At 37.7% G+C, this 23864-nt stretch overlaps 1 protein-coding gene and 1 pseudogene across 1 annotated transcript in view, besides 1 other annotated feature; one reads left to right on the top strand and one right to left on the bottom strand.

Moving 5' to 3' along the window:
* Positions 353-1057: an enhancer, noted in NCBI's record as "H3K27ac hESC enhancer chr19:22504465-22505169 (GRCh37/hg19 assembly coordinates)". NCBI's record gives its function as "activates a minimal SCP1, AML or CMV promoter by ChIP-STARR-seq in primed H9 embryonic stem cells {active_cell/tissue: H9 hESC(primed)}" and the evidence as "EXISTENCE:reporter gene assay evidence [ECO:0000049][PMID:30033119]".
* ZNF729 (zinc finger protein 729) overlaps positions 5544-23864 on the bottom strand; it is a 30736-nt gene continuing 12415 nt past the window's right edge. The window contains exons 2-4 of the mRNA NM_001242680.2: positions 18836-18962; positions 17937-18032; positions 5544-9049 (exon numbers count right to left, since the gene is read on the bottom strand). Coding sequence (NP_001229609.1) covers positions 5544-9049; positions 17937-18032; positions 18836-18962 — 3729 coding nt within the window. The remainder of the gene's footprint in view (positions 9050-17936; positions 18033-18835; positions 18963-23864) is intronic.
* On the top strand, positions 22852-23743 carry BNIP3P31 (BCL2 interacting protein 3 pseudogene 31; annotated as a pseudogene).

The following is a 23864-nucleotide window of genomic DNA, read 5'->3' as shown; positions in this document are numbered from 1 at the left end:
ACAACCTTGGGCACGCATTGTCACAACCTCCTGACACTCTGACATCTCAGATACTTTGGGCTCAAATTAGTAATTTCAGGTAGAAATTAAAATTCTTATTAAAATAGAAACAAACAAAAGGACTAAACAGAGAAAAACTAATAAAAGTGTGCTCAAGCCTGGGAACAGTGGCTCACACCTATAATCCCAGCACTTTGGGAGGCAGAGGCGGGGTCAAGACCAGCCTGGCCAACACAGTGAAACCCCATCTCAACTAAAAATACAAAAATTAGCTCTCTCCCTCTCCCTCTCCCTTTTCCTTTCTACGTTCTCCCTCTCCCTCGTCTCCCCTTTCCACGGTCTCCCTCTGATGCCAAGCCGAGGCTGGACTGTACTGCCGCCATCTCGGCTCACTGCAACCACCCTGCCTGATTCTCCTGCCTCAGCCTGCCGAGTGCCTGGGACTGCAGGCGCGCGCCGCCACGCCTGACTGGTTTTCATATTTTTTTGGTGGAGATAGGGTTTCGCCGTGTTGGCCGGGCTGGTCTCCAGCTCCTAACCGTGAGTGATCTGCCAGCCTCGGCCTCCCGAGGTGCCAGGATTGCAGACGGAGTCTTGTTCACTCAGTGCTCAATGTTGCCCAGGTTGGAGTGCAGTGGCGTGATCTCAGCTCGCTACAACCTCCACCTCCCAGCCACCTGCCTTGGCCTCCCAAAGTGCCGAGATTGCAGCCTCTGCTTGGCTGCCACCCCGTCTGGGAAGTGAGGAGCGTCTCTGCCTGGCCGCCCATCGTCTGGGATGTGAGGAGCCCCTCTGCCTGGCCGCCCAGTCTGGGAAGTGAGGAATGCCTCTTCCCGGCCGCCATCCCGCCTAGGAAGTGAGGAGCATCTCTGCCCGGCTGCCCATCGTCTGAGATATGGGGAGCACCTCTGCCCCGCCGCCCCGTCTGGGATGTGAGGAGTGCCTCTACCCAGCCACGACCCCGTCTGGGAACTGAGGAGCGTCTCTGCCCAGCCGCCCCGTCTGAGAAGCGAGGAGCCCCTCCGCCCACCGGCCGCCCCGTCTGAGAAGCCAGGAGCCCCTCCGCCCGGCGGCCACCCCGTCTGGGAAGTGAGGAGCCCCTCTGCCCGGCCGCCACCCCGTCTGGGAGGTGTACCCAACAGCTCATTGAGAATGGGCCATGATGATGATGGTGGTTTTGTCGAATAGAAAAGGGGGAAATGTGGGGAAAAGAGAGAGAGATCGGATTGTTGCTGTGTCTGTGTGGAAAGAGGTAGACATGGGAGACTCCATTTTGTTTTGTACTGGGAAAAGTTCTTCTGCCTTGGGATGCTGTTAATCTATAAGCTTACCCCCAACCCCGTGCTCTCTGAAACATGTGCTGTGTCCACTCAGGGTTAAATGGATTAAGGGCGGTGCAAGATGTGCTTTGTTAAACAGATGCTTGAAGGCAGCATGCTCCTTAAGAGTCATCACCACTCCCTAATCTCAACTACCCAGGGACACAAACACTGCAGAAGGCCACAGGGTCCTCTGCCTAGGAAAACCAGAGACCCTTGTTCACATGTTTATCTGCTGACCTTCCCTCCACTATTGTCCTATGACCCTGCCAAATCCCCCTCTCCGAGAAACACCCAAGAATGATCAATAAATACTATAAAAAAACCCACACATTTTTAAAACAACAACAACAACAAAAAAAAATTAGCCCAGCATGGTGGTGTGTGCCTGTAATCCCAGCTACTCAGAAGGCTGAGGCAGGAGAATCACTTAAACCTGAGGGCAGAGGTTGCAGTGAGCTGAGATTGCACGATCGCACTCCAGCCTGGGTGACAAGAGTGAAACTCTGTCTAAAATAAAACAAAAACAAACAAAAACCCTAAAATTTATATGATATGACAAAAGACCCTGAATAGCAGAAGCATTCAAGCAAAAAAGAAAGGCTAAAGGTATCATCCTACCTGACTTTGAAATATACTGCAAAGCTATAGTAATGAAAACAGTATGGTACTTGAACAAAATGAGTCACACAGGCCAATGGAGCACAAGAGACAGGAAATATATCCATGTATTTAAAGCTAACTGATTTTTTATATAGGTGACAATTTCTTAGGAAAATGACAGTATCTTCAATAAATAGTGTTGAGAAAACTATAGCCACATGCAGAGCAATGAGTCTCTCATCTTACTCCACATATATAAATCAACTGAAAATATATTAATACTTAAATGTAAGGCCTGAAACTCTGAAACTACTACAAAAAATATAGACTGAAAGCCCCGTAACATTGGTTTCAACAGTAATTTTTTTTAATTTAACCTCAAAATCCCAGGGAACTAAAGGAAAAATAGATGAGTCAGATTACTTCATATTAAAAAGTTGCTGTACAGAATCTGATATAATCAACAAGACAAATGGGAGAACATTTTTGCAAACCATACTTGTGACAAGGGGTGAATATCAAGATCATGTAAGAAAGTGACTATACAATAAAAAAACAAATAACTATGAAAAATGAGCAAAAGGCTTAAATATTTTAAAAAGACATACATATGGCCAAGAGATATTTTAAAATGCTCAATTACACTTATTATCAGAGAAAGGCAAGCCAAAAAATCTATGAGATAAAAAGTCACTCATATTAGAATGACTCTTATTAAAAAGAAAAAAAAGTGTTGGTAAAGATGTGAAGTAAAAGGAATGCTTGCACACTGCTAGTCTGAGTGTAAATGAGAACAGCCATTATGAAAACCGAAATAGAGATTTCTCAATAAATTTAAAATAAAACTGCCATATAATGCAGCAATTTCACTATAGGATATATATATATTTAAAAACAAATGAAATCAGAATGAGAAATATTTGTATTTCTATGTTGTCTGCAACACTCTTCATAATAGCCAAAATATAGAATCAACAGTTCAACATCTAATGATTAAATACTGACAAAGTAGTATATATATAAAATTTATCTATTTATCTTTTAATAAGCCAGGAACAGAAAGAAAATTTTATGATTTCACCTAAACATGAATGATATAAAACTTAAATTCACTGAAGCACAGAATAAAATTGTAACCACCAGATGCCAAGGTATCTAAAAGAGGGCTTTAGAAAGATGTTTGTCAAAGAATAATACATAATTATAGTTAGATAAAAGTAATATATTCAAAAGACTTGTTGTACAGCATGGTGTCTATAGTTAATAATAATGTATTTTTGAATAATGCTAGGACAATGTCATGTGCTCTCACCACAAAAATGTTAACTATGTGAGGTACAGCATTAATTACCTAAAATTAAGTTTGACAATGTATATATATACTTCAAAACATCATGTTTTACAGAATACATGCTTTATCTGTCAAGTTGAAAAATATATATTTAAAACATTATAGAAGGATATCAATTTTTTCAAATATTCTCTGTCTTTGTCATTAACTTGGCTAAATGGTATCAAAAGTATATAGTTTTGTGCTGTCTTGTCATTTAATTTTTCAGTCATAACCATAGGAACTCTGACATTTAACAGCATGTTCTGAACTCAGTACCGTGCATGGGAGGAGCCAACGTACATTAGGGCTTTTATTTTAAGTTTAAGACAGCAGAAGTTTTTGGTGCTAATTGCAATGGTATGAAAGACATTAAAAGGGTAGGTGTTGTTTATGACCTAAAGATTGGCCACTGTTTGAACACCGTAAACAAGTTTGCATGCAAAATAACAGGAAATGTTTTAACCTGAAAGCCATTACAACTTCGTCTCCAAAATTTTTCCAGAGAAAATTACCAGAGTTGCCTACAGTGAAGTGACTAAAAATAAAAACTGTAGACTGAAATTCACCCACTTCAAAAATTGTGAGTGAAAAATGTCTCCAAATTGTAATATCAATATGAAAAATAAACATTATTTCAACACTAAACATGTAAACACATAAATAGAATGGTTATAACATTATTCACATTTGTAGGGTTTCTCTCCCATTGAATTATCTTGTTTAGTAAGAGTTGAGGACTGGCTAAAAGTGTTCCCACTTTCTTCACATTTGTAGGGTTTTTCTCCAGTACGAATTTTCTTACGTCTAGTAAAGTCTGAGAATTGATTAAAAGCATTGTCACATTCTTCACATTTATAGAGTTTGTCTTCAGTATAAACTATCTTATTTTGAGTAAGGTCTCAAAACCAGTTAAAAGCTTTGTCACATTTTTTATATGTTTAGGGTTTCCTTTAGTATTAATTATCTTATGTTCAGTAAGGTTTAAGGACCAGTTAAAAGCTTTGCCACATTCTTCACATTTGTAGGGTTTCTCTCTAATATAAATTATCTCACATTCAGTAAGATTTGAGAACCCGTTAGAAGCTTTGCCACATTCTTCACATTTGTAGGGTTTCTCTCTAATATAAATTATCTCACATTCAGTAAGATTTGAGAACCCGTTAGAAGCTTTGCCACATTCTTCACATTTGTAAAGTATCTCTCTAATATGAATTATCTTGTGTTCAGTAAGTTTTGAGAAACACTTAAAAGTTTTGCCAAATCCTTTGAATTTGTAGCGTTCCTCTCCACTATAAATTATTTTGAGTAAGGTTTGAGAACTGGTTAAAAGCTTTGCCCATTCTTCACATTTGTAGTGTTTGTCTCTAGCATGAATTATCTTATGTTCAGTAAGATTTGAGGACCGGTCAAAAGCTTTGCCATATTATTCACATTTGTGGAGTTTATCTTCTTTAGGAATTCTCTCATTTTGAGTAAAAGCTGAGCAATGGTTAGAAGCTATGCCACATTTATGATATTTGTAGAGTTTTCCTTCAGTATCAATTATCTTATGCGTATTTAAGCTGTGAGGACTGGTCAAAGGCTTTGCCACATTCTTCACATTTGATGGGTTTATCTCCAGTATGAATTGTTTTCTGTCTAGTAAGGTTTGAGGATTGGTTAAAAGTTTTGCCACATTCCACATATACGCCATGGAATACTATGCAGCCATAAAAAAGGATAAGTTCGTGTCCTTTGGAAGGACATGGATGAAGCTGGAAACCATCATTCTCAGCAAACTATCATAAAAACAGAAAACCAAACACCACATGTTCTCACTCATAGGTGCGAATTGAACAATGAGAACGCTTGGACACAGGGTGGGGAACATCACACACCCAGGCCTGTCAGGGGGTGGGGGGCTGCGGGAGGGATGGCATTAGGAGAAATACCTAATGTAAATGACGAGTTGATGGGTGCAGCAAACCAACATGCCACATGTATACCTATGTAACAAACCTGCACATTGTGCACATGTACCCTAGAACTTAAAGTATAAAAAAAAAAAGTTTTGCCACATTCTTTACATTTGTAGGGTTTCTCTCCAGTATGAATTATGTCTAGTAAGGCTTGAGGACTGGTTAAAAGCTTTGCCACATTCTTCACATATGCAGGGTCTGTCTCTAGTATAAATTATCCTATGTGTATTAAGGTTTATAAAATGGTTGAAAGCTCTGCCACATTATTCACATTTCTAAGGTTTCTCCCCAGTGTGAATTATCATATGTTTAGTAAGGGTTGAAGGATGGTTAAAAAGCTTTGGCACATTCTTCACATTTGTAGGGTTTCTCTCCAGTATGAATTGTTTTGTCTAGTAAGGTGTGAGGATTGCTTAAAAGCTTTGGTACTTTCTTCACATTTGTAGGTTTCTCTCTGGTATGAATTGTTTTATGTCTAATAAGGTATGAGCACTGAATAAAAGCTTTGCCACATTCTTCACATTTGTAGGGTTTCTCTCCAGTATGAATTGTTTTGTGTCTAGTAAGGTGTGAGGACTGGTTAAAGGCTTTGCCACATTCTTCACATTTGTAGGGTTTCTCTACAGAATGAATTATCTTATGTTTAGTAAGGATTGAGGACTGACTAAAGGCTTTGCCACATTCTTCACATTTGTAGGGTTTCTCCCCAGTATGAATTATCTTATGTTTCGTAAGGGTTGAGGAATTGTTAAAAGCTTTGCCACATTCGTCACATTGGTAGGGTTTCTTTCCAGTATGAATTACCTTATGTTTTCTAAGGGCTGAGAAATGCTTAAAAGCTTTGTCACATTCTTCACATTTGCAGGGTTTCTCTCCAGTATGAATTACCTTATGTTCAGTAAGTTTTGAGGACCACTTAAAAGCTTTACCACATTCTTCACATTTGTAGGGTTTCTCCCCAGTATGAATTATCTTATGTTTCATAAGGGCTGAGAAATTGTTAAAAGCTTTGACACATTCTTCACATTTGTACAATTTCTCCCTAGTATGAATTAGCTTATGTTTCTTAAGGGTTGAGGAATTGTTAAAATCTTTGCCACATTCTTCGCATTTGTAGGGTTTCTCCCCAGTATGAATTGCTTTATGTCTAGTAAGATGTGAGGATTGCTTAAAAGCTTTGCCACATTCTGCACATTTGTATGGTTTCTTCCCAGTATGAATTATCTTATGCTTCATAAGGGTTGAGGAATCATTAAAAGCTTTGCCACATTCTTCACATTTGTAGGGTTTCTTTCCAGTATGAATTATCTTATGTTTTCTAAGGGCTGAGAAATGCTTAAAAGCTTTGCCACATTCTTCACATTTACAGGGTTTCTCTGCAGTATGAATTACCTTATGTACAGTAAGTTTTGACAACCACTTAAAAGCTTTACCACATTCTTCACATTTGTATGGTTTCTCTCCACTATGAATTATCTCATGTTTTCTAAGGGATGAGGATTGGCTAAAAGCTTTGCCACATTCTTCACATTTGTAGGGTTTCTTTCCAGTATGAATTACCTTATGTTTTCTAAGGGCTGAGAAATGCTTAAAAGCTTTGCCACATTCTTCACATTTGCAGGGTTTCTCTCCAGTATGAATTACCTTATGTACAGTAAGCTTTGAGGACCACTTAAAAGCTTTACCACATTCTTCACACTTGTAGGGTTTCTCTCCAGTATGAATTACCTTATGTTTCATAAGGGCTGAGAAACTGTTAAAAGCTTTGACACATTCTTCACATTTGTACAATTTCTCCCTAGTATGAATTACCTTATGTTTTCTAAGGGCTGAGAAATGCTTAAAAGATTTGCCACATTCTTCACATTTGCAGGGTTTCTCTGCAGTATGAATTACCTTATGTACAGTAAGTTTTGATGACCACTTAAAAGCTTTACCACATTCTTCACATTTGTAGGGTTTCTCTCCAGTATGAATTATCTTATGTCTTCTAAGGGCTGAGAAATGGCTAAAAGCTTTGCCACATTCTTCACATTTGTACGGTTTCTTTCCAGTATGAATTATCTTATGTCTTCTAAGGGCTGAGAAATGGCTAAAAGCTTTGCCACATTCTTCACATTTGTAAGGTTTCTCTCCAGTATGAATTGCTTTATGTCTAGTAAGGTGTGAGGATTGCCTAAAAGCTTTGCCACATTCTTCACATTTGTACGGTTTCTTCCCAGTATGAATTATCTTATGTTTAGCAAGGATTGAGGAATTGTTAAAAGCTTTGCCACATTCTTCACATTTGTACAATTTCTCCCTAGTATGAATTACCTTATGTTTTCTGAGGGCTGAGAAATGCTTAAAAGCTTTGCCACATTCTTCACATTTGCAGGGTTTCTCTCCAGTATGAATTACCTTATGTACAGTAAGTTTTGATGACCACTTAAAAGCTTTACCACATTCTTCACATTTGTAGGGTTTCTCTCCAGTATGAATTATCTGATGGTTTCTAAGGGTTGAGGACTGGCTAAAAGCTTTCCCACATTCTTCACATTTGTAGGGTTTCTTTCCAGTATGAATTATCTTATGTCTTCTAAGGTCTGAGAAATGGTTAAAAGCTTTGCCACATTCTTCACATTTGTAGGGTTTCTCTCCAGTATGAATTGCTTTATGTCTAGTAAGGTGTGAGGATTGCCTAAAAGCTTTGCCACATTCTTCACATTTGTATGGTTTCTCCCCAGTATGAATTATCTTATGTTTCATAAGGGTTGAGGAACTGTTAAAAGCTTTGCCACATTCTTCACATTTGTAGGGTTTCTTTCCAGTATGAATTATCTTATGTTTTTTAAGGGTTGAGAACTGGCTAAAAGCTTTGCCACATTCTTCACATTTGTAGGGTTTCTCTCCAGTATGAACTACCTTATGTACAGTAAGTTTTGAAGACCACTTAAAAGCTTTACCACATTCTTCACATTTGTAGGGTTTCTCTCCAGTATGAATTATCTCATGTTTTCTAAGGGTTGAGGACTGGCTAAAAGCTTTGCCACATTCTTCACGCTTGTAGGGTTTCTTTCCAGTATGAATTATCTTATGTTTTCTAAGGGCTGAGAAATGGTTAAAAGTTTTGCCACAATCTTCACATTTGTAGGGTTTCTCTGCAGTATGAATTACCTTATGTGCATTAAAATTTGAGGACCCCTTAAAAGCTTTGCCACATTCTTCACATTTGTAGGTTTTCTCTCCAGTATGAATTCTCTTATGGTCAGTAAGATTTGAGGACTGGTTAAAAGCTTTGCCACATTCTTCACATCTGAAAGGTGTCTCTCCAGTATGAATTCTCTTATGTTTAGTGAACGTTGAAGAAAATTTAAAGGCATTGCCACATTTCTTATATTTGTAAGGTTTGTCTTCAGTATGAATTATCTTATGTTTAGTAAGGGTTGAGAACGATTTAAAGGCTTTGCCACGTTCTTCACATTTGTAGATATTCTGTCTAATATGAATTCTCTTATGTCGAATTAAGCATGAAAGCATGAAAAATGATTTGCTACATTTTATACATTTGAAAGTTTTCTTTTTAGTGTGTCTAACCTTATTTCTATTTGAATATTTATGAAAGACTTTCATATGTTTGTTACACTGAAATATTTTTCTCTGGGTAGCTGTCCTGCATTGGTTAAGTTTATTATAACCTTCTTTGTGCATCTTACCCTCATTGGCACTTTTACAATCTTTTCTTAATCGTAAATTCTTATGTCCACATCTTGCATATGTTCTCAGTATTACTTCTTGGAAAGAATCTTTTGTGCTCTGATCTGGCCAAAGGTCTTGTGTAAAATGAGAACGCATAACTAGAAGAAATAAAAATAACAAATTATTCCACTTGCTAGACTCAGATGAATATACTTTACAAATCTAACCTATAAAATTATGCAAACCACATAAGATGGCACAGCAAAATAAGACAGGCCCTAATTTCTTCATAGACATATAAATGTAACAAAAACATACTGACCAAATACATTTGTGGAAAATTTATATGTAAGTTAAGTACCCCAAGTAAGCACAATGCAAAGAGCCACACAGAAGGAAAGGGAAGTCGGTTACAGTTTCCCAATGCAGCTCTTCCTGCTACCAAAAATAGCATAGGCTCTTTAGAAGTAAATTGCTGACTGGGAATAGCAGTTCATGCCTGTAATCCCAGCACTTTTGGAGGCCAAGGCAAGTGGATTACCTGAGATCAAGAGTTCAAGACCAGCCTGGTCAAAATGGAAAAACTTCATCTCTACTAAAAATTCAAAAATTAGCCAGATGTGGTGGCACACGTCTGTAGTCCCAACTACTTGGGAGGCTGAGGCAATCACTTGAACTTGGGGAGTAGAGATTGCAGTGAGATGAGATTATGCTAGTGCACTCCAGCCCATGTGACAGAGTGAGACCCTGTCTCAAAAAAAAAAGGAAATTGCCAACTCCTGGTTTATTGTTTAAAGACAAATAAAACAGTGGCATGGCCAGGCGCAGTGGCTCATGCCTGTAATCCCAGCACTTTGGGAGGCCGAGGTGGGCGGATCACCTGAGGTCGGGAGTTCGAGACCAGCGTGACCAACATGGAGAAACCCCATCTCTACTAAAAATAGAAAATTAGCTGGGCGTGGTGGCACACGCCTGAAATCCCAGCTACTAGGGAGGTTGAGGCAGGAGAATTGCTTGAACCTGGGAGGCGGAGGTTGAGGTGAGCCGAGATCATGCCATCGCACTCCAGCCTGGGCAAAAAGAGTGAAACTCTGTCTCAAAAAAACAAACAAACAAAAAAACCAGTAGCACATATATATTTATTTCTGGCTTCCAGGGGCCTTTCTGGTTTTTGTCTCTGATGACATAAAGTGCTGAAAGAAATGGTGGCATACTTTAAAATGACAGCTTGAGTCTGCTGAGACCAAAGTTAGATGTTACAGCAGCACTGAATATAGTACCACACACACAAAAAATAGATGTAGCAAGTGATTACTATTGAGAAGAAACCTGAATAACGTTCTTTATCTAAACACACACACACACACACACACACACACACACACACAATTTCAGACAAGACACATTCTAAGAACATGTTTGACAGACTCCCAGAATCTCTAGCCAAGACAATTGGTTTCAGACTATTCCAGGACAAGGCTACATTATGAAGATTCCAACAGGTAGCTTTTTTGATGTACAAATTTTAATCAACGATTACAATGTATATAGAATATTAGGACAACATGGCCCAATCAAAAAAAGTATAAAATTTTTAGAAAGCAACCATAAAACAATGAAGATTAATAAATTAATTTTTAAAATTTCAAATAAATTAAATAACACTGAATGAGAGAAACAGGAACACAGATCACTATAAAAAATTGAAAAAAATGAGGATACCTCTTCCCCTAATGGCATGAGGTAATTCATGAAAATGGCTTGCTATTCACCTAAGCCAGAGAACCCCACAATATCATGCTAAACAAGAGGTTTATAAGGGCTATTCTTACATATGACAAAATATACTTTAAAGCAACAGCAATTAAAAAAAACAAAGAGGGACATTATACAATGGTAAAAGGTCTTGTACAACAGGAACATATCACAGTCCTAAACATACATGCACCTAACACTGGAGCTCCCAAATTTATAAAACAATTACTAGTAGACCTAATAAATGAGATAGACACCAACACAATAATAGTGAGGACTTCAATACTCTACTGACAGCACTAGACAGGTCATCAAGACAGAAAGTCAACAAATAAACAATGGATTTAAACTATACCTTGGAGCAAATGGACTTAACAAATATATACAGAACATTCCATCCAACAACTGCAGAATACACATTCTATTCAACAGCACATGAAACTTTCTCCAAATAGACCATATGATAGGCCCCAAAATGAACCTCAATAAATTTAAGAGAACTGAAATTATATCAAGCACTCTCTCAGACCACAGTGGAATAAAAGTGGAATTCAACTCCAAAAGGAACCTTCAAAACCATGCAAATACATGTAAATTAAAAAACCTGCTCCTGAATAATCATGGGGTCAAATATGAAATCAAAATGGAAATTAAAAAAATTCTTCAAACTCAACAACAAAAGTGACACAACTTATTAAAACCTCTAGGATACAGCAAAGGCGGTGCTAAGAGGAAAGTTCATAGCCCCAAACACCTACATCAAAAAGTCTGAAAGAACACAGACACTCTAAATTCACACCTCAAAGAACTAGAGAAACAAGAAAAAACCAAACGCAAACCCAGGAGAAGAAAAAAAATAATCAAAATCAGAGCAGAATGAAATGAAATTGAAACAAACCAACAGACAAAAACCAAAAGATAAATGAAACAAAAACCTGGCTCTTTAAAAAGATAAATACAATTGACAGACCATAAGCAAGATTAACCAAGAAAAAAAGAAAATCCAAATAACCTCAATAAGAAAGGAAACAGGAGATATTACATCTGACACCACAGAAATACAAAAGATCATTGAAGGCTACTATGAACACCTTTAAGTGCACTAACTAGAAAACCTAAAAGAAATGGGTAAATTTCTGGAAAAATGCAACCCACCCAGCTTAAATCAGGAAGAATTAGATACCCTGAACAGACCAATAACAAGCAGCGAGACTGAAATGGTAATTTTAAAATCATCCACAAAAAAAGTCTAGGACCAGACAGAATTTAGCAGAATTCTACCAGACATTCAAAGAATTGGTAGCAATGCTATTGACACTATTCCACAAGACAGAGAAAGAGGGAGCCCTTCCTAATTTATTCTATGAAGCCAGCATCACCCTAATACCAAAATTAGAAAAGGGCATTAACCAAAAAAGAAAACCACAGACTGATGTCCCTGATGAAAATAGATGCTAAAATCCTTAAAATAGTAGCTAACTGAATCCAGTAACATATCAAAAAGAGAATCCATGATCAAATAGGTTTCATACCAGTGATGCAGGGATGGTTTAACAAATGCAAGTCAATAAATGTGATACACCACATAGAAAGGAATAAAAACAAAAATCATATGATCATCTCAATAGATGCAGAAAAAGTATTCAACAAAATCCAACATCCCTTTATGATTAAAACTCTTAGCAAAATTGGCATACAAGGGACATACATCAATGTAATAAAAGCCATCTATGACAAACCCAGAGCCAACATAATACTGAATGAGAAGTTGAAAGCATTCCCTCTGAGAACTGCAACAAGACAAGGATGCCCACTCTCGCCATGCTTCTTCAACACAGTACTAGAAGTCTTAGCCAGAGCAAGCAGAAAAAAGATAGGGCATCGAAATTGGTAAAGAGGAAGTAAAACTGTCACTGTTTGCTGATGATATGATTGTTCACTTTGAAAACCCTAGACTTTTCAAGAAAGCTCCTAGAAATGATAAAATAATTCAGCAAAGCTTTCAGATACAAAATTAATGTATACAAATCAGTAGCTCTTCTATACACCAACAGCGACCAAGCAGAGAGTCAAATCAATAACTCAACCCCTTTTACAATAGCCGTGAAAAAAAAAAACCCCAAAAACTTAGGAATATGCCTAACCAAGGAGGTAAAAGATCTCTACAAGGAAAACTATGAAACACTGCTAAAAGAAACCACAGATGACACAAACAAATGGAAACACAGCCCATGCTCATCGATGAGTAGAATCAATATTGTGAAAATGACTATACTGCCAAAAGCAATCTACAAACTCAATGCAGTTCCCATCAAAACAGCATCATCATTCTTCACAGAATTAGAAAAAATGATTCTAAAATTCATGTGGAACAAAAAAAAAAAGCCTGCATAGCCAAAGCAAGACAAAGCAAAAAGAACAAATCTGAAGCCATTACATTACCTGACTTCAAACTATACTATAAAGCCAGTCATGAAAACAGCATGGTACTGGTACAAAAATAGGCACATAAACCAATGGAAAAGAATAGAGAACCCAGAAATAAACCCAAATACTTACAGCCAACTGAACTTTGACAAAGCAAACAAAAACATAAAGTGGGTAAAGGATACTCTTTTCTTTTTTTTCTGAGATGGAGTTTTGCTCTGTTGATCAGGCTAGAGTGCAGTGGTACGATCTCAGCTCACCACAACCTCTGCCTCCTGGATTCAAGCAATTCTCCTGCCTCAGCCTCCCGAGTAGCTGGGATTACAGGCACCCACCACTGCACCTGGCTAATTTTTGTATTTTTAGTAGAGATGGGGTTTCACCACCTTGGTCAGCCTGGTCTCGAACTCCTGACCTCGTGATCCACCTATGTCAGCCTCCCAAAGGGCTGGGATTACAGGCATGAGCCACCGCACCCGGCCAGGGATACTCTTTTCAACAAATGGTGCTGGGATAATTGGCTAGCCACACATAGAATAAAACTGGATCCTCATCTTTTACTTTATACAAAAATCAACTCAAGATGGATTAAGGACTTAAATCTAAGACCTGAAACTATAAAAATTCTAGATGATAACATTGGAAAAACCCTTTCAGACATTGGCTTAGCCAAGGATTTCATATACAAGAACCCAAAAGCAAATGCAATAAAAACAAAGATAAATTAGGGAGGGTTCTCTCTGTATCTTGTGGAATAGTGTCAAAACGGGAACTTAATGAAACTAAAGAGCTTTTGCAAGGCAAAAGAAACAGCAGAGTGAACAGACAACCCACAGAGTAGGAGAAAATCTTCACAATCTATACACCTGACAAAGAACTAATATCTGGAATCTACAATGCACTCAAACAAATCAGCAAGAAAAAAAACAATCCCATCAAAACTGAGCTAAGGACATGAATAGACAATTTTCAACAGAAGATATACAAATGGCCAAAAAACATGAAAAAATGCTCAACATCACTAATAATCAGGGAAATGCAAATCAAAACCACAATACGATACCACCTTACTCCTGCAAAAATGGCCATAATAAAAAAAAAATCAAAAAAACAGTAGATGTTGGTGTGTATGTGGTGATCAGGGAACACTTCTACACTGCTGATGGAAATGTAAACTAGCACAACCTCTATGGAGAACAGTGTGGAGATTCCTAAAGAACTAAAAGTCATACTACCATTTGACCCAGCAGTCCCACTACTGGGTATCTACCCAGAAGAAAAGAAGTCATTACATGAAAAAGATACTTGCACACATGTTTATAGCAGCATGATTCACAATAGCAAAATCATGGAACCAACCCAAATGCCCATTGCCTATTAACCAATGAGTGGATAAAGAAACTGTGAGATTATATATATGATGGAACACTACTCAGCCATAAAATGGAATAAATTAATGGCATTCACAGCAACATGGATGAGATTGGAGACTATCATTCTAAGTGAAGTAACTCAGAAATGGAAAACCAAACATCTTATGTTCTCACTGATATGTAGGAGCTAAGCTATGAGGATGCAAAGGCATAAGAATGATACAGTGGACTTTGGGGACTTGAGGGGAAGAGCGGGAGGGAAACGAGGGATAAAAGACTACAAATAGGGTGCAGTGTATACAGCTCGGGTGATGAGTGCATAAAACTCCCACAAATCACCATTAAAGAACTAAAGAACTTACTCATGTAACCAAACACCACTTGTACCCCAATAACTTAAGAAAAAATAAATAAATAAAAATAAAGTAGTATACAGGTTACTTAAAGACAAAAAAAAAAAAAAAAAAAAAAAACACAGAGCTTTCCAAATTTTGATGTAATAAAAGAAAAAAATATGCTTTTTTTTTTTTTTGATGGAGTTTTGCTCTTGTTGCCCAGGCTGGAGTGCAATGGTGGGATCTCGGCTCACCACAACCTCCACCTCCCAGGTTCAAGCGATTCTCCTGCTTCAGCCTCCCGAGTACCTGGGACTACAGGCATGCACCACCATGCCCGGCTACTTTTGTATTTTTAGTAGAGACAAGGTTTCTCCATGTTGGTCAGGCTAGTCTCAAACTCCATACCCCAGGTGATCCACCCACCTTGGCCTCCCGAAGTGCTGGGATTACAGGCATAAGCCACCGCGTCCGGCTGAAAAAAAAATATTCTTAATCCATAACACTTGATCAGAAATTATTTTACTTTAAAAACAGTAAAAAATAAAGACTTTCCAAAATGAAAGGTAAGGGTGTTCATCACCACTAGCACAGCTAAAAAAAAAAAAAAAAAAAAAAAAAATGCTACATTGTGGACACGCACAGTGGCTCATGCTTGTAATCCTACACCTTTAGGAGGCCAAGGCAGTCAGATAACTTCAGACCAGGAGTTCAAGATCAGCACAAAAACATAGTGAGACTCTGCATATATAACAAGAGAAATGCTAAAATTAGTCTTTTATGTTGAAAAATAAAATGCTAGACAGCATCAAAAACCCATATATAAATATATAGCTTTCTATTAAATATAATTATACAGACACATATAGAAAAAAGAAATGCTAAAATGAGTCTTTTATATTGAAAATAAAATGATGCTAGACAGTATCAAAAATCCATATATAAATATATAGCTTTCTATTAAATGTAAATATACAGACACATATAAAAAAAGAAATGCTAAAATGAGTCTTTCATGTTGAAAATAAAATGATTCTAGATAACATAAAAAAAGCTTTCTATTAAATGTAAATATACAGACATATATAAAATTTCTTACTATAATAATAGTGCAGAAACCCTTAAAATTCTTCTATAGAATATAAAAACAAAATGTAAATCTGCATAAATCTGAATACACAATATGAAATAATTTATAATATTAATAACAAACTGGAAAATATAAAAATATAGTTTTTTGTTCCATTGAAATTGTTATGAGATTAAAACATACTGATTTAATCTTAAGATATTTTACATAATGTCCGTTTTTCAAGATAACTACAAAAATTTTATAGAAACTATGCAAAACAAAATAAAATAAGCAAAGCGTGCCACTACAAAATTAAACAAAAAATAGTTAAACAAGAAATGAGAAAAAACATGTTAAAAAAAAAAACATAAAACAGAACAATGAAACTGGTATGTAACTTTATTTCTTTTCTTTTCTTTTTTTTTTTTTGAGATGGAGTCTCACTCTGTTGCCCAGGCTGGTGCACAGTGGCATGATCTCAGCTCACCACAACCTGCACCTCCGGGTTCAACTGATTCTCCTGCCTCAGCCTCCTGAGTAGCTGGGGCTACTGATGTGTGCCACCATGCCTGGCTAATTTTTGTATTTTCAGTAGAGACGGGGTTTCTCTATGTTGGCCAGGCTAGTCTTGAACTCCTGACCTCGTGATCTGCCCGCTTTGGTCTCCCAAAGTGCTGGAATTACAGGCATAAGTCACTGTGCCCAGTGCAAAACTTTATTTCTTTAAGAAATCATTTTAAATATAAATTTTTTAAACTACTTAATAAAAAGAAATGTAATTCCAGGACTTTGGGAGGCCAAGGTGGGCTGACTACCTGACTCCAGGAGTGTGAGACCAGCCTGAGCAACAAGGCAAAACCCTGTCTCTAAAAAACAAAACAAAACAAAACAAAAAAACTAGCTAGGTTTAATGCCATGTGCCTGTAATCCAGCTACTTAAGAGGTTGAAACTAGAGGATTATCTGAGTTTGAGAGGCTGAGGCTGCAGCTCACTGCCATGATCACACCATTGCAAACCAGCCTGGCTGACAGAGTGAGACCCTATTTCATTAATTAATTAATTAATTAAAAGAAAAAGAAAGAAGATGACTGAGTGGCTTAAGGAAAAAAGCATGCAATATGTTCCTACAAGAGACCAATTTTAGCAGAGTCAAATAGTCTGTAAGTAACAGAATTTAAAAACTTTATATTTCATGCAAATAGTAGCCACAATTGGGTGAGACAGTCATAATTATATTGGACACAATATGCTTTAAGTCAAGTACTAGTATGAGACAAAAATTGATATTATATAATAGTAATATGGGTCAATTTACCAGGAATCTATAATTATTATATTTATATGTACAGGTAGGTATAACAACAGGGCTCCAAAATACATAAATATTGACAAAGGTGAAGCAAGAAATATATAGCAACATAACTGTTGCAGACACTGAGACCCCATTTTCAATAATAATAAAAAATAGAAAATTCATGTAAAAGATTAAGAAAACAAAATGTAGGTAACATTATAGACTATAATATTTTGCATACAGAAAAATATCTGAGAGTAGATAATTTATAAAGAAAAAAGGTTTATTTGGCTCACAGTTCAGCAGACTGTACAAGAAGTGTGTGCCTGTATCTGTTTCTGGTGAGTGTCTCAGGTCAGGAAGCTTATGATCACAGTGGAAGGCGAAAAGGAACTGGACATATCACACGGTAAAAGACAGAGCAAGTGTGAGGTAAAAGAGCCAGGTTCTTTTAACATAGTTTCTCAAAACTATACAGATATTTGTGTGTCCCCAATAACAATGGAAAAGCAGTCAGACTGTGCAGTCCCTTATACGCCATGAACACGACTTTGGCTCTCATTGTAAACTTGAAGGGAGATCACCAAAATGAAAACAGAATCCTTAGAGAATTTTAAAGCATAAGACAGAAGATGCCTCTACGTGAGAGCAAAATTTAAAAAATCTCAGTCTTCCCAGAAACTACTTCCTTTGGAGCACAGCTTCTCAGGTCACATTTTGAGAACTGGCTTTCTCCTTGACCTCTGGACCTCTTATCTGTGTTGTCTGTTGTATTCACTCTCACATACCTGGGGGTTTAGTTACCATCTCATGTCTCTTCATATTCCAAGGCTCTTTCCCTTGCTTCAGACAAGTTATCAAGTCTGGCTTAAAGACAGCCATACCTGTTTTATTAAAAATAAATAACATAAATATTGGTCATATTACCCAAATAATATGCTCATTAAAGAGAATGTAATAGAATATTCTAGTAAATTGATCCCCCAATACTAATTTATAACATACATTTCTAAATATTTAGAAAGTATTTTCAATTTGTACAGGCCCTTAATTTTACTACCTGGTACTACTGAATCAAAAATTGTTGGTGGCAATGAGATTTTAAGGTGTGGCAACTGTATTTTATGCCACTCAATTTCAGCAATTTCCACTAATCTAGAGTGAAAAATACAGATCTGCTCAGAAATGTGAAAAGTTCAGGTAAAAATGAAACATCTTTAAAAAATTCCTTTTGGCCTGGCACGGTGGCTCACGCCTGTAATCCCAGCACTTTGGGAGGCCAAGGCGGGTGGATCACAAGGCCAACAGATCAAGACCATCCTGGCCAACATGGTGAAACCCCATCTCTACTACAAATACAAAAAAATTAGCCGGGTGTGGTGTCGCATGCCTATAGTCCCAGCTACTTGGGAGGCTGAGGCAGGAGAATTGCATGAACCTGGGAGGTGGAGGTTGCAGTGAGCTGAGATTGCACCACTGCACTCCAGCCTAGGCAACAAGAGTGAAACTCCTTCTCAAAAAAAAAAAAAAAAAAAATTCCTTTCTACACTTATAAATCCCTGTTTCCAGAAAACAGGGATGTGAAACTCATTTATAGTAAGCATAAATCACCAAAACACATTCTACAGAAAAGAGAAATTAAACCTATAGAATATAATAGGAATTGCTTAATTAAAATTATCCTCACCCAGGAAGACCAGGTTTCTGTAGTTCTCTAACATCACATCCCTATATAAATTCTGCTGAACCGTGTCCAGGCATTGCCACTCCTCCAGAGAGAATTCTATGGTCACATCTCTAAATGTCAATGGTCCCTGAAAAACACAACGAAAGACACATATACATTTCCCAAGTGGCCATGGGCAGAAATTTTTAATTTGACTCAAGGTGAAATGAGAGAATAAAGAGAACAGATTCTAACTTATAGGGATGACCGAACATATCCAATAAAATAATTTTCAACACAGAAATATTATCTAATGTAGTCTCAAATTCTGAGAAAAAAGAATGGCATAAGATCCGCAACACCAGTGTAGATAAGATACCTTTCTGGATAATAAAGTATAAAACTAATGGCATGATAACAAACATGTACATTTTTTGTGCTATATTTACATCATACAGAATAAGTCTTGTATATTTTTCAGATCAAAAAGACATGCTGAGTTAGAAGACACCTCTCAAATTTTAATGTGTACAATTAACTGGAGATCTTGTTATGCATATTTATTTTAGAAGATCTAGAATAAAGTCTGAGTTTCTGAATTTCTGACAAGCTCACCAGTGATGCCTGTTTTTGGCCCAAAAAAGAATCTTTTGTCAAACATTCAGCAAGTGGGGGAACCTGTGTTTTTCCCAGTTTTTCTGGCCTGTAAACAAAGATGAGAGACTTCATTTTCCAAAGATAGATATATGCAAAGAAAATCTAAGAAAGAAAGGCAGGTGCCAGATTAAATGTGATCACTGGTGCACATCAGCTGCATAAAGATACTTAAAAGGCCAGGCGCAGTAGCTCACTCCTGTAATCCCAGCACTTTGGGAGGCTGAGGTGGGTGGATCATCTGAGGTCAGGAGCTCAAGACCAGCCTGGCCAACATGGTGAAACCCCATCTCTAATAATAGTACAAAAATTAGCCAGGCATGGTGGCACGCTATTCTGGAGGCTGAGGCAGGAGAATCACTTGAACTCAGGAGGTGGAGGTTGCAGTGAGCTGAGATTGCGCCACTGCACTCCCGCTCTAGAAATGAAGCAGGATTCCCCAGCCAAAACTCTAATCTCTTTTATCCAGTTCTGTGAGGTAAGACTCCAGGGTGGGACCTGACCTAAATAAGGCCTCCAAAAACAGTGGATCTAAACAGAACTTGGCCAGGGAGTGGACCCTATGTAGAATTCTGTTCTCTATGCTACTGGGAGTGCTTCCAGTTTTGTTTTTCCTAAGCTTACCTAAGATGCACTTAAATCCCAGAATCTGTGTAATTTAAATATTTTTTTAGACAGTGCCCAATTTTATGACATATACTAATAAGCAATTTAAACCAGTCTTTTATGGTTCCTAGGGTAATTTTATTAAAATATACATATGTATTCTACCAAGGTAAAATAAATAGAAATAAACATAAACATCCCTTCAAGTGATGACATCAGAAGTCAGAAGAATATAAAGTAGTCCAAATAAAGCCCAAGCGTTTCTGCACACATCTGTTTATTGTACCAATGATATGATGACGTTTAATTCAACCATGTACCCAGTTGCTAGTCTAGACTATAAGTTCCTGGGTGGTAGGGACCATGACTCCCTCATCTATTTTTTTAATGGCCACATGAAATGGAAGCTATTAGTTTACCTGTTTGAGTCTCAGGACCTCCTTCTTGTTTTTCACCCAAGTACCAAGAAACTGGAGAAACTCTTGTCTGGGTACCAACTAAAGGTATCTCTTGTATGAGGGGAGGAACAAACACAGGATGACTCATTTCTCTTATACTGAGACAGAAGCAGAATTAACCACTTTTGTCAGCTTGACACAGTTCTGCTCTGGACATCCTCAAATGTCTCAAAGATGCCTAGGTGATTGTGAGAGGGTTTCCAGTGACTCTGGGCTAATGACCCAATGATGAGCCAGGCAGAAGAGACTCAGGCTGGTTATAAATAGAAAATGGAACCGCCCTGGTTAAGCTCCAGAATCTAGATCACCTCTTCTGATTTGCTAGCTCTTGGGTAAGAGAAATAACAATACTCTACTCCAGTATCACATTTTACAGGTAGGTATAGTTGTAGTCATGGCTCTGGTTACTCTGTGGCCTTGATCTCTCACTCCTAAGATGCCTGTTTATACTTACAGATTCTGTCATCAGATTTTATTTATACCTGGAGTCTCTCACATACCTGTAACAGGTCACTGGAAAAGATCTGAAAATCTCACAGAGCCACAGTCTCAAAGAAAAGATTTAAGATCTCTACGTTGACATCTCACAATACAGAAAATGTCTTCTGCTGGTTTTCTGCATACTCTCAATTCAAAGTTTGGCCCTGTCTTGTAAATCTTAGGCAGAGGCCAGATCTTATGTGCAGATTCCAGGTGGGATCAACCAGACTCTGCCTCCTTGGGTGTTACAGCAAACAGAGTACAATCAAAGGAGAGATCTCATCATAGACACTACTCTGGCACATTCTAAATATGTCTACCTAAAACGAAAAAGCTGAGAAAATATAGATTTAAGTTGACAGTTTATTTGGGCCAAGCTTGAGGACTGTAACCTGGGAGCAAATATTCAAGTTGCCCGCAACATACACTTGATTAGCAGTGTGATTACAAGTTGATTTGTAAAGGCTAAAAAAGATGGACAGAGAGTGGGTTGATACAAAGTTGTTTGTCAGAAATTTTTATTATTTACAGGAATAACATTGATTATTGATTGGATATACACCATTAAGTTTTACGGTACAAGTTATAGTGTCCAGTGTGCATTATTAATATATAGCTACTTGTGGCAATAGCAAACAGCTTCAAAAGATGAATACATAGTTCAAAAAACAAAAAGAGAAACATAATTCTGCTCTCATTTTAATGTCTCTATAAGTTGGACAACCAAAAGGACTTGCATCTCTCAGAAAGAAAGTTTTTCTTTTTTCTCAAATCTGAAGACCTGGATTCAGAATTTGAAGTTGCAGTTTTAGGTTCTGAATGGATGGGATAGCAGCAGGTTTTCCCTGCACATTTGTGGGCATTTTAGCAAGATGAAGAAAAAGGAAGTACAGATTCCCAAGTGTACATGTCTACTCAATGCACATATGTTACTCTGATTGGGTTTCTGGGCCCCATAGTCTGTGAATCAGTTTCAGTTCGGAAGATACAAGAGTCACTGAAAAACATAAAATGGTTGATTGCTGCCCTGTGAAGTTTGTAGAATTCTGATCTAGCTTCTCTAAAAGTTACTGTGGAGGATTAAAGATACCAAATTGGCAGAGAAGCAATTCTGCCTGCATATTTAGGGGACAGTATGCACTTTGCAGCACAATTGTGAATTGACTGATAGCCTGAGAGGGAAAGTTTCCTCTAGAGTAAAGCTTGGGTGGCACCTTATATTTATATATCATGTCTGATAATTCTAGACAGTTTTTGTGAAACATAATTAAAAGATAAATTTTCTTCAGCCCCAGAGAAACTCCACAATAGAACAGACATAAAACTGTTTTATTACACAATTAAACCTGAATGTGACATGCATCACAGTCAATCTGCTTAAGAGACTGAAAAGATAGAAAGACAGTAACCGTAATTAGTTCACAAGTAGAAAAATGTATAGCACCATGTCATACACAGTTCATCCTAAATTCACCTGGTAATTGGGAAGGCTAGCCATGCAGGCTAATCAGTTATGTTCAATGACAAAATAAACTTTTCACATCTTCATGAAAGGAGGTAATTTTGCAACTTGAATCCAGGTGCCTGCTGAAGGTAGGCTCTCAATCTCCTACAAAAATGGTTGAATAGAGTGCTATCTTTTTGGCTATTTACACTTTAAAGCAATGGCTCTCTACTCCCTGAGCACTTGGCTACATCTCTCCTGCTTGCCCTCTCCGTTAGCTAGTGTCCTCTCTTGACCACTACCATCTGCCATTGAGGCAGAGCACACTGCACAGGGCTCACATCTGAAAGCTCACATCTTACATAAACCACAACTGCCACAGCAGCACTCCAGTGTCACCCCAGAGAGGGAAGCCTGAGCTGCAGGAGGAGAGCCTGCAGGCCTCCTGGGGAGAACTGCACCTTTACATTAATGGACATTGGAACAGTAATTCAGCCTCAGTTTTTATTTACAATGTGACATGGAAAAACTACTGCTGGATTTCCAACATTAAGTCCAAGTACAGATAGCTCCAAAATTTCTCACTGTGACAGCCCACCTCATTCACAGACAACAGGGAATATTTAATAGTGCAGACACCCAAAGCATTGGACAGAAAAACAGCTCTCAGTCTGAGCAAGATTATGCTTAGAGAAAAAAAAAAGTTAAATGCATTTTAAGTAAAAACTCAGTTTAGGCCGGGCATGGTGGCTCACGCCTGTAATCCCAGCACTTTAAGAGGCCAAGGCAGGTGGATCATGAGGTCAGGAGATCGAGACCATCCTGGCTAACACGGTGAAACTCCATCTCTACTAAAAATATAAAAAATTAGCCAGGCTTGGTGGCACAAGCCTGTAGTCCCAGCTACTCGGGAGGCTGAGGCAGGAAAATCACTTGAACCTGGGAAGTGGAAGTTGTAGTGAGTCGAGATTGCGCCACTGCACTCCAGCCTGGGTGACAGAGTGAGATTCTATCTCAAAAACAAACAAACAAACAAAAACTCAATTTAGATATAAGATTGATCAAGTCAGCCAGAAAATATTCTCTTAAAAGGAATTTCTCTCTAAACAACCAAAGTGCACAGCTACTCTCAGCATGAGAAACATGAGCATTATGAAGAAAAGGGATATATTCTCAGCAGAATTTTATAAGATTTCTCTTCCATCTCTGCTGCTCTCTCATCTCCTAGCCATTGAATGGGGGGTTATATATTGAAATACATCTCACAATTTCCACCAGCACTTTTGATGAAGATGTATAATCTGACTTTGTTCATATAGTGGAATGTATTTAAGCTTGCCACATAGCTAACTAAAGAGCTATTATGGTTTTGCGGTGGCCACATCATCTGTGTTTATTTCTCCTGTAA

Source organism: Homo sapiens, chromosome 19, assembly GCF_000001405.40.
Source record: "Homo sapiens chromosome 19, GRCh38.p14 Primary Assembly".
Taxonomy (NCBI): domain Eukaryota; kingdom Metazoa; phylum Chordata; class Mammalia; order Primates; family Hominidae; genus Homo; species Homo sapiens.
This window is presented reverse-complemented; position numbering and strand designations above follow the sequence as displayed.